The 17,731-nt window shown below is 37.5% G+C and overlaps 1 annotated feature.

Annotated features, from left to right (window-relative positions):
• Window positions 9,809–11,008: an enhancer, noted in NCBI's record as "BRD4-independent group 4 enhancer chr13:62241013-62242212 (GRCh37/hg19 assembly coordinates)". NCBI's record gives its function as "activates an origin of replication core promoter dependent on BRD2, P300/CBP, MED14 and CDK7 cofactors, and independent of BRD4, by STARR-seq in HCT116 cells {active_cell/tissue: HCT116}" and the evidence as "EXISTENCE:reporter gene assay evidence [ECO:0000049][PMID:35650434]".

Raw genomic sequence — 17,731 nt, 5'->3', positions numbered from 1 at the left:
CACCCACTGGGGCCTGTTGGGGGATAGGAGTCTAGAGGAGGGATAGTATTAGGAGAAATACCTAATGTAGGTGACGGGTTGATGGGTGCAGCAGACCACCATGGCACATGTATACCTATGTAACAAACCTGCACATTCTGCATATGTACCCCAGAACTTAAAGTATAATAAAAAAAAGTCCACTCAGTTTTTAAACACTAATTATTAAGTAAGTGAATATAATCATCGTTGTTCAAATTCAATTGGAATATCCAAAGCACAAAAAGGGAATCTACTTGCAGCTTGTTGGGGTAACAGTTTTGTTTACAAGATGACCTTCCAGATAATGCACTTAATTTGTGTTTTCAGTTTCACGGTGAGAACTTTCAAGGTCTGAAAACAGAAGTAAGTTTAGAATTTTACAAGTTGGAAGGGGAAGAGATATACAGGCAGAAATGATGTTGACATCCTCCAAATCATACTATGTTGTAATGTACTGGAGTATTGTTCAAGTTAAAGTAAGATTGCTGAGATCCTTTACACATTCCAGAAAAGGATATGCCTCTGGACATGATGCTATAATGAATGGCAAAATGCATTTGAATAACTGATGTGAAACAAAGTTTCTAAAAGGTAAATTACTAAGTTAGCAGACAGAAAGTTTTGCTCAAGGTGTTCACATATTATAAGTGCCACTGTCAGATAAATGCAAATGTAACTTTCAAGGGATAATTCTGAAAATTGTGTGACAGCTTTTAGAGGAAAACAATGATTTATCCAACACCAGAGCAGCACAATTTACTATTGGGGTATCCTAGAAGGAGTAGTTACAATATGTTGTTTTTAATTTGTTGCCTGCTTCTCCCTGGAGGATTTTGACCTAAAATATTTTCATTAAAGACGTTACACTAGTGAACTCAATTTATAAAATGACTACTTTTTAAGCCAGGTCTTTTCAAGGTCTGTATGTTTTTGGTCAGTTATCCCCAGTAGTGTTCTAGGATAATATGCAGCTTGAGAACTGATAATGCAGTCTTTTTGCTACCATATAGCCAATTACGATAAGTTAGGATGATTGAGGCTGTTAATCATAAAGGCCCTGTAGCTAGAATGATGAGCAATAGTTTTAATCTTCATAGTGTTTTTTCTGATAAATGCACATTTATCTCATACTTATTTAGCCAGCACAATAAACAGTACTCTTGTTGTATGAAAAATTGAATGCAGCTTTAAACTACTTAGCTTCTTCTCCTGAGGTAATTGACACTGTGGGAGTCTCTAGTTTGCATGCATTATCATTAGCCTGGTTATCAGGACATGGTTTGCAGGCAAACAGTTATATCCTGGGAGAAACTGAGGTATAGAAAAAATCTAATTATGGGTTGCATAGCTACTAATAGCCCACTTTGCTAGAATGCTCACTTTACTAGAATGTCTTCAAATATTTCATTAGTTGGTTGACTTTGGCAATTTCAATATCATTAGGAGCAGAACAAATTTCTCTAGCCTTTTGCTAGAGGAAAAATAAAATTGGCAAACACAAGCCCAAGGAATATTGACAAACATGCTTCATATTGACTTTTTTTAATGGTTTTTTTGCCCTTTGTCTAAAGTTTCCTGAAATTTTCTAATTCTGAAAGCCTGAAATATACAAAAAAAAAAGTTTATTTGACATCACTTCTCTCCAAACTACTGTTATAAATACTTTCCCAATCCATCACTTAAAATACAGTATACTAATTGAAGAATCCAGTTCTAGGGAATCTGTTGGGAATCTGTGTAAAACTTAAATGAACCCTCTTAAAACTTGCTTCTTCTATCTTGAACTTTTACTCCTCTTTCACTTTAACTTTCCTTTCGCTCAAACATAGAGAAAGTTGAGAGCCACTGCTCCCCACATTCAAGGACGGATGTCATTTAATTCTAATCAACACATATTTTGCATTTATCTCATTTTATTTTTTTGCAATAAGTCCTACATAAACAAGAGTGTACAAACCACATATAGAGAATCAATAAAAACCTACTTAACAGTAACATTGGTTTAAAAAAATTGTCCCAAGATCTTAGAAGACTCCTGTGTAGATTACATGTTCTTCTCTTCTCCTTAGATATAATCCGTATACTAACTTATCTGATAAAATTATCTTCATATATATATAATTCTTGAAAAAAATAGTATATTTTTTTCTGCTTTTCAAGTTTACAGGAATGGAATTATACTGGATATATTAATTTCTGAGCTACATCCGAGTTGATGCACAATGCTGTGCTTCATTCAATTTCATTGCTGTAATAATCCACTGCATAAACACATCAATTATTTTTCAGTTCTCCCAGGGCTGGCTATATAATTTGTGAAGCCCTGTTCAAAATGACAGTATGAAACCCCTAGTTCCATAGTATTAAAAAATTTAAGATGGAAACAGCAGAGCCTTAAACCAAGTAGAGGATGCCGAAGTATGGGCCCCTGAAAGTCCACACGGGTCACATGCTCATGAAGTTAATGCGGATTCCATTGTTGATTTACATGTGAATTATTATTTTTTTTAATTACCAACACAGCTGCTAAATTTCTCCTGGAATACCTGTTCCTTGGAGAGTTTCTCTAGATGCTAGAGTTTGTGTGCCAAAAGGTAGGCCCTTGAAATTTAGTAGCTAATGAAAGGTTATTTATCAAACTGCTTAGTACAAGTTACATTTTCAACACAATAGATGAGATCTCTCTAATTTCATTTAATTACCAGTCTAGGTCATTAAGATTTTAATTTCCTTATTAATAAAAAATGATTAACCTTCCTTTTACAGCATGTTGTGATGCTAATTAGGATTGGAATTTCATTGACTCCATCAATGTAAAGAAAACTGGCGTCTTGACAATATGTGTTTTCTAATCATTGAACATTGTATATATATATCTCCATTTTTCATCTTTTAAATTTATTACAATTATATTTTACAGTTTTCTATATAGAATTCTTGGAATTTTTAAAATATTTCCCCTTAGCACTTGATAACTTTCATTTAAGACTCTTCTGTAGGTTGCCTGTTCATTCTGATGATAGTTTCTTTTGTTGCACAGAAGCTCTTTAGTTTAATTAGATCTTATTTGTCAATTTTGGCTTTTGTTGCAATTTAGTTTTAGTTATTTTCAGTATAATGTTTGTTTGAATAACAGCCTGCTAAATAATAAAAAATGAAGGTTTTCTTGCTATTATCACTTTTTTCAATAATAATCTATATATGCTGCCTCTATATTCTGAATCCTCTATTTTCTGATTACACGACCTTGCAGTCTCACTTTTATTTGCTAATCTATTAAAATTTAGTTCTTCTGAGAAATAATTAAGCACCTAATACTAATGTTAGCTAAATTTGAATCTTTTAAACTTGGTTTCTCTTTGACATCTCTCCATTTTACTTTCCTTTTTAAAGCCACTTTTCCCTCATGGTAGCAGGTAACAGTGCGTATTCCTGATTTGTTTCTTTCCTTTCAACATGATTCCAGAGAGTCACCTCACCGATGAAAGCACTGTTCTTTAAATTTTGCCTTGTTTTCCTTTTTTAAAAAAAAAAATTGGTAGTTGAATTCAGTATTTCCATAGCTGTAAATATCAAATCTTACAAATAACTCTCAATTTGATGTTGAAAATGTCACTTTGTAACCTAGAATTTAGTTTTCAGGTATTTGCCAAATCCATACTTCTTACCACACAAAATGTCACACAATTTGATGATGACTAAAATCACGTTTCCCCATGCGATTCCTCGTGTAGTTAATGGTACGAGTATTGTCAAAAATGTACTGTTAAGGTACTCAGTTGTCAGGAAACAGCTTTTTGAGTGGCCCTAAGACTCTGAACTGGCTTGCAGTATCTTCCTGATTTTGTCAGTGAAGTTCTAATTTCCATCCCATGAGCAGTAGTTCATTTATTTATGATTTTATTTACGATTTTTTTTTAGTGCCTTCATAGTAGATGCATTTTTTTTTTTTTTTGAGACAGAGTTTCGCTCTTTTGCCCAGGCTGGAGTACAGTGGCATGATCTCGGCACACTGCAACCTCCACCTTCCGGTTTCAAGCGATTCTCCTGCCTCAGCCTCCCGATTTGCTCCTGTCACCATGCCCGGCTAATTTTTTTTGTATTTTTAGTAGAGACAGGGTTTCACCACATTGGCCAGGCTGGTCTCAAACTCCTGACCTTGTGATCCACCTGCCTCAGCCTTCCAAAGTGCTGGGATTACAGGCATCAGCCACCGCACCCGGCCAGTAGATGCATTTTTAAAACAAATTTTTGTAATTATTAAACATAAAATAAATTTCAAAAATAATTTCAAATCAGTCTGTATTCTCAAATTTTGTACACTCTCCCAGTCTCAGTGTCCAATTGAGAGGATGCCTCACTTCTCGGCACATACTCTCAGCATTTAGCTCTCATGTACATTTTTACATTAGTTGTCTTGTCCAACTATTATGAATAGATCGTATGAATTTAAGAATCTGAAATTTTAGCAAAACACATCATGAAAAGCAATCGCAGGTTTTACATTGTTTAGGTTGTATAATAAGACAGGAAATATTTATGGAAAGTTTCTTACATTCCAGGGACTCTGTGAGACATTTTTCATTTATTAATTTATAAAATTTTCACTCAAATTGTAATGAGTCCCTAATTATAGACAGAAAAACTGAAGTTTAAATAATTTAGGTAATTTTTCCATGATTACTCGAAGTGGCTGAGCCACTTAGTTCAGAATTTAAAGATTCAAAACCTGTGAATTTAAATATTCTTCATTGTGGCTTCGTTTCCCACATTAAAAAATGCATGGCGTAAGGCCATAGCTTTATCTAATTCAATAAAACAGTTAAAAAGAAATATTGTCCAGACAGCTGTGAAACCAGATTCCCTCAGTTTGTGAATCCCAAAAGAACTCCCCAATACTGACTGAAGTAGCTTTGAGCACAAAAATTCCAGGCTATGAATCTCGATATAAAACTCAACTTCTTTGTTTGTTTCTAAAACATGTATTTAATATTTATATCCCATATGGTTTCCCGCTTGTATCTAAAATCTGCCATAATCTTTTTATTACCCTTTCACTAGTGTTCTATTTGGGAATAAGTGAGTCATAGCTAGATTATTTGAATAGCAGCAATATTTTTAATTACTATATACTTTTTATCATTGATAGTAAAGGATTAGCTATTTTAATAATGAATTAAAATTTGTGCCCAAAATAGAATACTGTTTATTATTTGCAATGATAAGATAAAAGATGCATATTAAAAGATTGATAATCTCCAAATACCAAAATAATAGAGAAGATGAAAGCAGAAATTTTATTATTTTATATATCAAAAAAAAGAGGAAATAACAAGGAGCAAATCAAATTTGAAAGCATATAAACAGAATAAATAAATAAAGTCAATGATTTCTTTTTATTTTGACTTAAACATGCTAATGTAGGCTATACTATTATTATTTATCACTATCTCTTCCTCTTTCTGTGAGAAAATTATGCTTACCTGTCTTATTGACTGACCTCAAGATTGGTCATGTTCCTGGACCAAACTGAGGGTTGGGCTGCTAATTCTAGCAGCCCAATAATGAGATGCAGATGAACTGGGGAGGAAGAGAGTTTTTATTTCTGCAGCTGGTTACAGGGAGAAGGTCTGGAAAATATCACCAGACAAACTCAAAATTACAAAGTTTTCCAGAGCTTATATACCTTCTAAGCTATACGTCTACATGTAAGTGTGCATTAATTTAAAGGCATAAGTGATTAACTTCTCATGTATAACTAAGGTCTCAGTCCTGAAGACCTTCGTCTGGAGTCTCAGTAAATTTACTTAATCTAAATGGGTCCAGGTGCTGGGTGATTACCCTTATCTTGTTTCCTGCCAATTCATGGGAGTATAAGGAGTTCCTTCAGAGTATCAGTAAACTTGTTTGTGAAGGCCTAGGGAGTTTCTTCAGACTCCCAATACAACTTGTTTAATCCTAAATGGGTCCTGTTAAGAATTCCCTTATCTTGTCATGCTTCAAGGCCCAGGAAAGGCATAGGCAAAAATCTTGGTGGGCTTTTGTTACATTACAGCCTTTGTATAATGGCACTGGCTCTCTCTGCTTTTAATATTTAACTTAGCCACTCAGTCAGTACTAAAACAATTGTTATGGAGGCCTGCATTAGTGAGACCTGGCCTGCCACAAAGTGACTTGCTTTACCATTGAAAGGTAAGCAATACTGGTATGTCGAAGCCGACTTAGGAGTCAGCAGATGGCCGGCCATGTTTTCTTTTCCTTCTTCCACTCAGAAGGGTAATGTTCGTGAAGTATGGCTGATCTGCATCCTGGATGAAGGTGATATGAACAGAACCACACTGCCCCATTATGGACATTTTGAGACAGCCACCTGGGAGAGGGTCCCGGGAGAATCTCTAACCTCGGGAAGTTCGCACCCTTTGCAGCAAAGAGGAGCCTGGCCCCTCCTCTTCCAGGGCGGAACCTCGGATTTGAACGGCGGGCAGAAGCCCTTTAGCAGACGGGCAGAGGGACTTTGGCCTTATGAGAGCCCCTGTTTCCCCTTTGTTTTTCCCCTTTGCACCCAATAAAACCCTCCTTTACTCACCCTTTAAGCGGTCTGCGAGCCTGAATTTTTGTGGCCGTGGGGCGGACAAGAACCCCGTCTTTAGCTGAACTAAGGTAAAGTCCTGCAACATTTTTCGTACTCAACGTGGGGGCTCCAGAAGCAGTGAGTGAAATGGGGACTGAAAACCTCTCACTGTTGTTACTAAGCCTTTTGATTCTCAGACGTCTGAGGGTGGGGAAACCATGCCCCCACCTGTGTAGCTCCCGGGCATTTTCATGGCTTTTTCCTTCCTTTTTCTGGGACGGGACCAGTGAGCAGAAGCTCCCAGTCGTTTCCCGCTCTCTGCTCGCGCGGGACGCACGGCCCAATGGTCCGATACAGCCAGCTGGCTGGTTCCCAGCCACTCAGGGCTGCCCCAGGCCTCCCCTTTTCTGGCCAAAGGGTTTAACTCTATCGGACAGTAATTAAGCTTAAACTTGTCTCTCTGGTGGATGAACCACTTTCAGAAGAATAAGAGGTTCTTCCCCAGGCACTTTTCCTTTCCCTTCTCTACCTCATCAACGAGTTAACTTTTAAAATATTTGTTTTTCTTTTAGAAGATGTTTTACTAGGCTAGCGCCCCCGACCCCCAAACACTCCCAACTATCGCGGTATTCTCTGCAAACTTTTGGTTGTGAAATCAAGCCGCCATCTTGCTTTACATCCTGAGGGCTTGGCTGGTAACTGCTTGGCAAGGCTTTGTTTAGCAATCTTGCCTGAAGTGATGAGCCCTGAGGTTCCATATGCTAGCCCTGTCTCTTGAAGCACCCCACCCAGCGGCTGGGTTTTCTTCTGCCTGTGTGTATACTGTGTGTGATGTCTACAAAAAGAGCTCTAATTAATTTGGCCTAAAGAAAGACAAGTGCCTGGATCAAATATTTTTTTAAGGGAAGGTAAAAGCTGTGGTACCTTTCAGTTCACATGACTTTAATCTTTAAGAAATAAAAACAGCCCTAAAAGGGACAGGATTATTTGACATGTTTAGGTGCCTGGGATTGCCAAAGCAGGTCAGAGGCAAGGTTTGCTAAGTGTTTTGAGGTTATAAACTGCGTTTTGGGTTTTGAGAACCATTTGACTTGCTGGCTTCACAACTGGTAAGGCCTGGGGACATATGGAACTAACCATACCCTTAATTAAGAAGGCAACCTTGGATGCACTTAGCACTCAATTAAAGCAACTTACAAAGTTTTACCTTAAAGTTAAAAATTGCTAGGAGTTAATTGAAACTACTGGAAGTAAATTTACATGCAAGGTGTGTAAGAACAGTAAAATGTGTTTTTTAGTAAAAGGTTATAGGAAGGCCTTAAAATGTAAACTTTTGCTTAGGGTTAAAGGATTGTTTAGAGTTAAATGAGATAGCTGAAGGTTCAAATAAGTGGTGGAAGAATTGTGGAAATTAATCTTGTAGAAGAGGTTCTCTGTGTGAACATATTGACTAAATTCAGAAAAGGATAGTATGTGGTTTTTCTGTAAATTGGGCATTGAAATAAAAGCATAACAAGGTTTTCCTGAGATGGTAATCTGCTCTTTGGCAAAAGTTGTAAAGGGTTATAAAAGGTTTTTGCTTCTTTAAAATTTCTGAGTCTTCATTTTGGCAAAATAAATAATTTATGGTAATCTGGAATTCTATTTCATAATATCAAGTGTTTTAAACCTCAAACATTTAACAGCCTTCTCAAAATCAAACTTCAGTTTCAAATTTGTCTTTCCTGGCACCTGGCTTTTTTAATACTTCAGAGGGCCCATGAAGTGTCCAGAAAAGAGAGGTAAACAGGATTATTTGACATGTTTAGGTGCATGGGATTGTCAAAATAATGTTCAATCTTCTTTAGGTTATATCTTGATGAATAATGCTAATATATATTCCAAAATTGTATGGGATTTCTAAAATTCTAATGTCTCAGTGTATGCTATCACAATTAAGGTTGCTATGTTAAGTTATTGTAAACCACAGAGAAAACCAAAGTTCCTTGTCAATTGTGTTTCTAACTGTAACTACCCTGGACATTTTGCTATTCACAGACAATTGTTTTGTTTTAATCCCTTTCAAATATGGTTTATAATGAGCTATAGAATTTTAACAGGTGCTCTCAAACACATGCTTCTGATAACTTTAGAGACTGTACATTGGAATGAAGGAAGATGTACAGGACTCATGAAGAGCTGAAATGCTCATGAATATCAAGCAAAACAAGAATGAACTAAATGGACTGAACTCAGAAAGCTGAAGCAAACTTTTTGACTTTTGCTTGGAATATTGCTGATCCTTGCTTGGTTTTTCAGAGTCAAGGAAACTTATTTTGAACTATTTACAGCCTTTAATAATTGAATAAGGTATACTATGAACAAAATTTAAAACATGTTTGTTTCTCTCTGCCTGGTTCCTCTAGAATTTGGAAACTCTGAGTATTTTTAACTTATCACAATATAGTCATTTGCTTCAGTGCAATAAGAATCTATTTTTCTTTTGCAACAGGACACAATTGGAGAAACTGGTTATTTTACCAAGGCTTTGACTGGAAGGGTATGCTTCCCTTTAAGGAGTCAATCTCAACTTGCAAAGCCAATAAAAGCCCAGTGGGGAAACTGTCCTCATACCCTTGTCTACACAGTCCCTGTACAGGGCTCCTGACCTGTGGTCAGTAAAGAATGTCACTTTCTAACACGTCTAGGAGGTCCAAGATTGTTATGGAACCTTAAGAGGAAAGAATCACTCAACTCACAGGTATCTGAGGATCAACCCATGGCTGGGCTCAGCTGTAAAAGGTCTTATCTGAGATTCCTTGAGGAAGAAAGTTCCATCAAAGCCAATCCAAAAAACCTATGTAAAAATAATTATTCTTGCTGCACTTTATGCAAATAATCAGGCCAAGTGTAAAACTAAAGTCTATTCTGCAAACCACTCAGTCCTATGATGATTTGTTTTTCAACAAACATGAGGACTGGAGAGAGAGAGATCATGTTTCAAAACTTATATTTGTCATTAAATTCTAAACTCACTAGTTGTTTTTAAATTTTTGCCTACATTTTGGACTAATCCTGCTTGTTCCTGTGAACCAACTAGCAATCTCCAGCTGCAGCTTAGAAAGAACAAGAGGGATGGGTAATGTAAAAATCTGGATCGATATCCTAGTTCTGAGCAATTATCCTGCAAATCCTGCCAGGTGATGGGAATAAATAGGATGCCCATCATGTGAAGGTTTATTTTTGGGGAAGGTAAGACCAAGAAAGCTAACCAAAGCCAAGCACCGTGCACCCAAATCTTGGCAAGCATAACTATAGCTACCAATTATCTGGGTGTGTCACAAGACATCCTTTCCCTTCCCTTGTTGAAGGAGGACTCAGTTCCACAGTTTTAACTTCGGAACTTTAACTCAGTTCCACAGTTTTAGCATTCGGCTTATGATAAGGAGTCCATGCAACCCCCAACTCCGAGACACATTTTTGTCCAGGACTCAATTCCAAGCTTTGGGTCAAAGCACTAGGCAAGAAAACTGGATCTGAGGAATCCAAAGGAAAACGATAATGGAAGTTAAAAGGCACAGCGCAGGTGTGCGTGACTGATTGATGCCAATTAAGCCGACCCCGAGCTTCCTGTTTCATGGATAAAGGCCACGTTAATATCCATGGCATAAATGAGGTCTAGGGAATTCCAAGGCTACTGACAGTCAGGGGGAGAGAAGCATAGGTGAGAGCGGGTAATCCCCTTTATCTAGGCCCTCCCTGCTTCATGAGTGCAGGCCATTTTGGCACTCATGGTGGCACCTGCCAAGGTCACCAGGACTTGGGGATGCAATGATGGAAGAGGGAAAGAGGACACTCTTCCCTCTTTCCCTCACGTACTCTGGTATCTGCTAGGAAGAGAAGGGAACCAGGGACGCCTGCTTATCTCTTTCTAGATGGGTAGCCATTCATCTTCAGTCTGTACCCCTTTCGAATGCATCTTAAACCCTTGGGACTCATTTTAAAAACTCTTGCTTTTTCCTTTCTTCTCCTCAGTTCTCTCTTCACTGATAGGTAATTGTGTCTCTGTACTACAGGACACTTCCCTCAGATGCATCCTCCAAATTAGAAAGAGTTAATTTCCCACACCTTAAACTGCTTGGCTTAGGACTGGGCTCCGGAGAAGGGAACCCAGAAGCCCAACATGCTGGCAAAAGGGTAAAGTGTTTTTTTTTGTTTTGTTTTGTTTTTTAACCAGTGGAGCTTTTGGCCTCTTTCTCTCTGTGCAATCTGGTAAAAGGCCTCCGAATTTTTGAGCTGTCCTTACCCCTCCCCTTGTTTCATTTTGATACATGTTTTCTAATAACCAGGTTTTTCTGTTCTTGCCTTCAGGCCATCAGATTCCAAACAGTCATGCAACCAGAGCCTTTGATGATGGCCCCTTCTACTGTGAACCCTTGGATAGGCTTCTGAGGGAGCTCTGAGTGCTGTTTCCCCAAAACAGTGCCTCTGTCAGCAGGAAGCAGTTAAGATCTGTCTTTGTCCTTATCCTTAATCTAACGGCAGTTACATTTAGAGGAGGGAATGAGACAACCAGGTGGGAGGGGGTCCCTGGAGAAACTCTAACCCACCTGCCCACTGTTGTGGTGCCTCAGGAAGTTCATGCCCTTCGCAGCAAGGAGGAGCCTGGCCCCACTGTTTCCTAGGTAGAACCTGGGATTTGAATGGCGGGCAGGAAGCGCTCTAGCTGAGGGACTCTGGCCTTGCAAGAGTCCCTGTTTTCCCTTTTTATTCCCCTTTTCACCCAATAAAACCGTGCTTTCCTCACCCTTTAAACCATCTGTGAGCCTAAATTTTCGTGGCCGTGGGATGGACAAGAACTCCTTCTTTAGCTGAACTGAGGAAAATTCCTGCAACAATTTGATCATGAGTTAGAAATAAACCACTGTTGTACAACATTTAGATTGTTGAATTTTTACTGACACACAATTTATTTTATCCAGAATGATAGAATGCTAGCTAGAGAAGTTTTTTATTCAGACCAGGGAATACTATCAAAAGAATATTCTATAGATAATTTTAAGAATTATATTTAATCCCCTTTGAATTCAGTTAACTCACATGTACCAGCTATTATGTGCCCAACTCTGTTAGGATGGTGATTCAGCAGAAAAAAAAGATTAAAACTTTTCTCCTCATGGAACTTACATTCTAGTGGAAGAAGAAAAGCAAACCATTACTTACATTTTATTAAGTCTTAGAACTTGATATGTATTATGGAAATAAAGCAAGAAGAGTTAATGGAGAGTTCATCTGTACAGAAGTGTGATGGTTGATTTAGGTGTCAACACGGCTGGATTAAAGGATATCCAGATAGGATATCCAGGTACAGCATTAATTATTCTCAATGTTTAAGAGGCACTGAACCCATCCTCTTCTGCTGCAAGGGAAACCCAAGTGGTTTGCTGTTTCGTAAGAATGATTGGGATGCTCCAGGTGTGTCTGTGAGGGTACGTCTGAAGGAGATTGATGTGTTAATCCGTGGGCTGAGTAGGGAAGATCTGCCTTCAATGATAGTGGGTACAATCCAAACAGCTGGGGGCCAGGATGAAACAAAAAGGTAGGCGGAGGGTAAATTTTTGCTCCCTCTCTCCCAGAGCTGCAGTGCCCTTCCTCTCTCGCCCTTTGTAAGGTACGTGGATGTGCTTTGGTCAGGCATATGCCAAGGTAAACATCCAGGCCAAAGTGACTCAGTGAGTTTGGAGTGCAGATGCATGACTCTACTTGTTATATAACCTTGTTTGTGTAACCTCTACTTGTTTGTGTAAGCTCATGCTTGGCTAGGAGCCACTGTCGTTTGTAAAAGGTATAACTGCCCTGCTGACACTGTGCACAGGGCTCTCACATGTGCCCAGAGAAAGAGAGAAAGCCAGAGTTGTCTGTCTCGCAGACAGACAGGGTGGAGCCAGGGCACGGCTCTTTCTTGTGCCTGGGGAGAGAGAGTAACGCTACTGATCCCTGTGAGGGAGACCTGGTTGCCTTGAAGGCGGGCAGGTGGGGTCCAGGAATTGGTTTGTGCCTAGAGGGAAAGAGTTAAGCTGCTGACCCTGACCTTGCAGGCCAGAGAGTGCAGCTGCAGGCATGGGGGCAGCAGGAGCCACAGAGCTGGCTGCTGGGAGGGGTGCAGCCAGAGCAGACAGCCAAGATAAAGGCGGACAGTGTGAGAGACTGCTAATGAGAGAGCTGCTGAATAAAACTACATTTCACCTCCCTAATGCCCCCTAAGTGTTCTTTCAGCTACTTGCCACCCATCTACCCACTCCCTTCGGACCTCAGTGTGGGCGTAGTTGTGATTGACACCCTTGGATGTGAGAACTCCAGCCTTTGAGCTCTGGGACTCACACCAGTGGCCCCCTAGGCTCCCAGGCCTTCAGCTTTGGACTGAAAGTTTAATATTGACTTCTTTGTTATAAGGCCTTTGGACCTGGGCTGAGCTGTGTTACCAGCTTTCCCGGTTTTCCTGCTTTGCAGACAGCCTATCATGAGACTTTTTCAGCCTCCATAATGAAGTGAGCCCATTCTCCTAATAGATTCTTTTTCATCTTTCTCTATATATAGTCTATTGTTTCTGTCTCTCAATAAAATCCTGAGTAAAACAGGAGGTTAAACTTTAAAATAAAGTACTCAGGGAATGTGTCAGTGTTAAGGTAACAATTTCGCAAAAGCTTAAATAAGGCGAAGGAGCAAGACTCGAGGGTATCTTGGTGATGAGAAGTCTAGGCAGAAAGGACAGCCTGGACAAAGATCCTGAGCTGTGAACATAACCACAGAAAGGAAAACAATGAGGCTGTACCAGAGTGAGTGAGAGGAGTCAAAGCAGGAGATGAGGTTCCAGAGGGGCAACGTTATTTAGATCATATAAGCTTTCTCATTTTGTCTTTACTGAGGGAAATTGGCAGTCACTGGAGTGTTTAAACAGAACTGCAGCAAGATGCAGTCAACATTTGCTGTTGTACTGTCAGTATTCTGAGTATAGAATCCAGCTGACCTGTTGGAAGGCTTTAGCTCTAGTCCAGGAAAGAAATGATAGTGACTTCAACAGGGTAGTAACAGAATTCTCTTTTTTTTTTTTTTGAGACAGAGTTTCGCTCTTTTTGCCCAGGCTGGAGTGCAATGGTGTGATCTTCGCTCCCTGCAACCTCCACCTCCCAGGTTCAAGCAATTCTCCTGCCGCTGGGATTACAGGTGCCTGCCACCATGACCAGCTAATTTTTTGTATTTTTAGTAGAGACGGGGTTTCACCATGTTGGTCAGGATGGTCTCGATCTCTTGACCTCGTGATCTGCCTGCCTCAGCTGCCCAAAGTGCTGGGATTACAGGCGTGAGCCACCACGCCCGGCTGGGTAGTAGCAGAATTCTTTTGGTTGAATTCTGAATATAATTTAAAGATAGAGCCAATTGGATATGATGGCTGATTAGGAAGAGAATGTGATTTAAAAGAAGGTGTTAAGGATGACTCAAATCATTGCCTTAGTGACTGGAAAATGGAATTGGTGTTAACTTAGAAAAATCTAGAGGAGTTAATGATTTTGGGGGAAGGGTGACAATCAGGAATCCATTACATTAATGGGCACATTAACTTTGAGTTGTCTCTTAGAGATCCAAGTAAGTTCTACGTATGATCTGGAGTTGATGGAAATTGACCAGGCTGCAGATAAAAATTTAGGAATCATATAGATTGCTTTTAAAGCCATAAGGTGGGGCGGGGCATTTCCAAGGAAATGAGAGTTGAGGTCTGATTTTATACTGACTTGTATTATAATTTTTGCTAAGGGAGTGAGAAAGATAGGATTATAATCAGTTTTAGAAGTCCTGTTAGGATAGAAATGTTTACTACACTTAGAGGTATAAATGTGTTGCTCGTCAGAGCCATTATCTATAATGCATGATATATTCAAAGTGAAGCAAACTATATGCAGTATGTGTTCTTTTTTTCTTATCAAGATTATGTTATCTCAGTATTTTATAGGTAAGTCAATAGACGTGGTCACTTACCTGAGTTATATTCCTTAACTCCCTCAGAGAATGATCAAAACATTAAAAAATTAGTATGCAGCAGTTTATTTATTAAAAATAAATGTATGATAAACGTAAGTAAAAATAAGAAACGTTACCAACACATTTGAAATGAGAAAAGGATTACAACTATATTTAAATACTTTGTGAATTATATTACTCTAGTTCTGGATAAAATGTTTATTGTGATGATAATGTTAAATTCTAAAAGCAATTTAAGAAAAGAAATGAGAAAATACTAACAACAATAGAAAAGTAGAAGAAATTATCAAACAATATACTCTAAATTATGGTTTTTATAGGGGAGATTTATAAAATTTTAGTTCTATTTGGTTTCTATAGGGAGAATTCAGAATATCATCAGGTAACATAATGTATACAAAACACAGAAGAAATTTATATATATATAAATTTTGGTATATATAATTTTTATATGTATATATGTATACATATATATAGAAGATAGAGCCAATTGGATATGATGACTGATTAGGAAGAATATATATATTATATATATGTGTGTATATATATGTGTGTGTATATATATGTATATGTATATATATGTATATATGTATATATGTATATATACACATATACACGTATATATGTGTATATATATGTGTATATATATACACATATATACGTGTACACATATATACGTGTATATATATATACACGTATATATGTGTATAAATATATATCCTTTTCCAAATCCACAAAAATACATCTCACTTCCTTCCAAAAATAAAAGCAAACACAAAAATATCAAGGTACAGATAGAAATAAACATACATGATAGCTTGCATAGCAACTGTTAGATGTTCCACTGAACATGAATAATTTCACAAATACCCAATATCAGATGAGGTCACTCTGTAATGCTGATGGAAAACAAATAAACAATCAAAATTTATCTGTAATCACTTCTGAGCACAAACAGAAAACACTGTCTAAGGAACAAAAAATGCCAAATAGCTCCATTTCCAGGCTTCCATGAGTGCCTACTGCTTTTTAACAAATCACAGTTTTAGTCTTGCTCTTTTGTTTTCATCCTTCTAGAAAACAGTGATTAATATACTAACCCAGATTCCCTTAAGGTTTTGCTCAGCTTGACTAAAGTTTAGACAGGCTTCTTTCTCACTATAGGTCCCTGATCTCACTTTTCTCAGAGCATTTACTTCAGAAAATTTGCTACTTTATATTCTTTTTTTGCCCCATTGAGACATAAATCTTCTCTTAGTCTCTTACCAGTGCTATAACCCTGAAGTGTCTTTCTTAAGGATCTGAGAGCAATTAAGAAAGACAGCACCCCTATCTCCCTGTCCCTGTTGGAGAGTAAAAGCCTAATTTCACTAATTAGCAAACACAGGTGGCCTAATCACCTTGACCAATTTCCTGCCTAGTGTCCTCCAGTACTTTTAGATAGATCACCTCAGCATTAAAAATAACCTTCCATCTTTTGTTTCAGTGGAATGGAGTTCTCACACTCTCTTCCAATGCAATAGTCTTAACCCAAATTGCAACGGTATCTGATAAAGTCTTTCTTGCCTGTTTAACTATGACAGATGTAAATTTTTATTTTCTGGACGATACTTAATAGTACAATTACCGCTGCTTCTTACCTGCACTCAATCCTAAAGTACCTGGTTCCTTGGATCATCCCAAAATCTTCTAATACAACCCCAAATCCTCTAAGAAGCACTTGCTAATATCCTCTTGGTAAGATGCCTGCTTTGTTAGACCACTGATTTGTTTCTGGTAAACTTGGCTGGTGAGCAGTAGGACAAATGTCACCTATAAATACAGGGGTGTGAATTCTAAATTAATCAAGGAAATATGAATCCAAAGTCATTAAAAAGTCTCCAATAAATCAAAATTAAATGTAACTTGTGGAGAAATTAAATAATAGTTCTTGACGAAACTGTTAAAATGCAATATAAACACAAACATACTCTACAATTTTTCAGGTTTCATTAAATTACCAGATAAACATAAAATTAAATGATTCTTATGCATACACATTTACAGCATCATTAGAAAATAAGGAAAAACTATTGTGTAATACTGCAAAGTGTTTAAAATCATTTTCTTACAAGGGCATGCCTTTTAAGCTGAGACTTGAAAGGCAAGTAGAAATTAGACAAGAAAAGGCCTATGAGTTTAATAAAATTTAAGTGGAAGAGCTAAATGAGTTGGGGCATAAAATTTGATGAGTCCAGGTTTACAAGAAATGCTCAGATGACTTGATGTGTGAATTCTCTCAAATATTCAAAAATCAAATAATAATAATCCTTCACCATTTATTTCAGAGAATACAGGAGAAGGGAACAATTGCATCTCATACCTTGATACCTGGACATAGACATCACAGGAACAGATAGATGAACATCAATACCCTTTATGAACATAAACATATAAGCATTAATATTATACTAGCAAACCAAATTCAAGACCATATACAAAATAATTCTATGTCAAGTACAAGTACAGTGTATCCAAGGAGTACTGGTTCTTTTACAATCTGAGAATCAATCAATGTAATAGCCATATTAATACAAAGGGCACAGAAACTAAATGCATAATAATCTTAATGCATAAAAATAGACTAAATCAAATATTCATATAAGTAAAAAAATTAACAAACTAGAAAAAGCAGAAAAATTTATTATCTGATAAATAACATTTACAAAAACCTCACAGCAAACATTATATATACTGATGAAAAACAGGATACATTCTCCCTGAGATCGAGAATAAGGAAAGAATGTCTGCTTTTACCACTTCTATTCAACAGTGTCCTGGAGACTCTACTTTGTACAATAAGGCATAAATTAATTAATTAAAACTGTCTTTATTCCCAGATAACTTGATAATATGAAGAAATATTATATCAAGGAATCCAAAAATAACTATTAGTTCCAAAAAACAAGTTTGGTAAGATTGAAAGATTCAAAATTAGTATGAAAATAAATTGTATTTCTATAACCCAGTAACAAGAAAACAGCAAAAAAATTGGGGAAGCAATTCCACTCACACTAGCTCCAAAAAGGAAAGAAAAATGCATAAATTTAACAAAAAATTGTAAGTCTACAATCAGAACCACAA

This window comes from Homo sapiens, chromosome 13, assembly GCF_000001405.40.
Source record: "Homo sapiens chromosome 13, GRCh38.p14 Primary Assembly".
Classification (NCBI taxonomy): domain Eukaryota; kingdom Metazoa; phylum Chordata; class Mammalia; order Primates; family Hominidae; genus Homo; species Homo sapiens.
The sequence above is the reverse complement of the archived record's forward strand: the minus strand, read 5'-3'. Positions and strand labels throughout refer to the sequence as shown.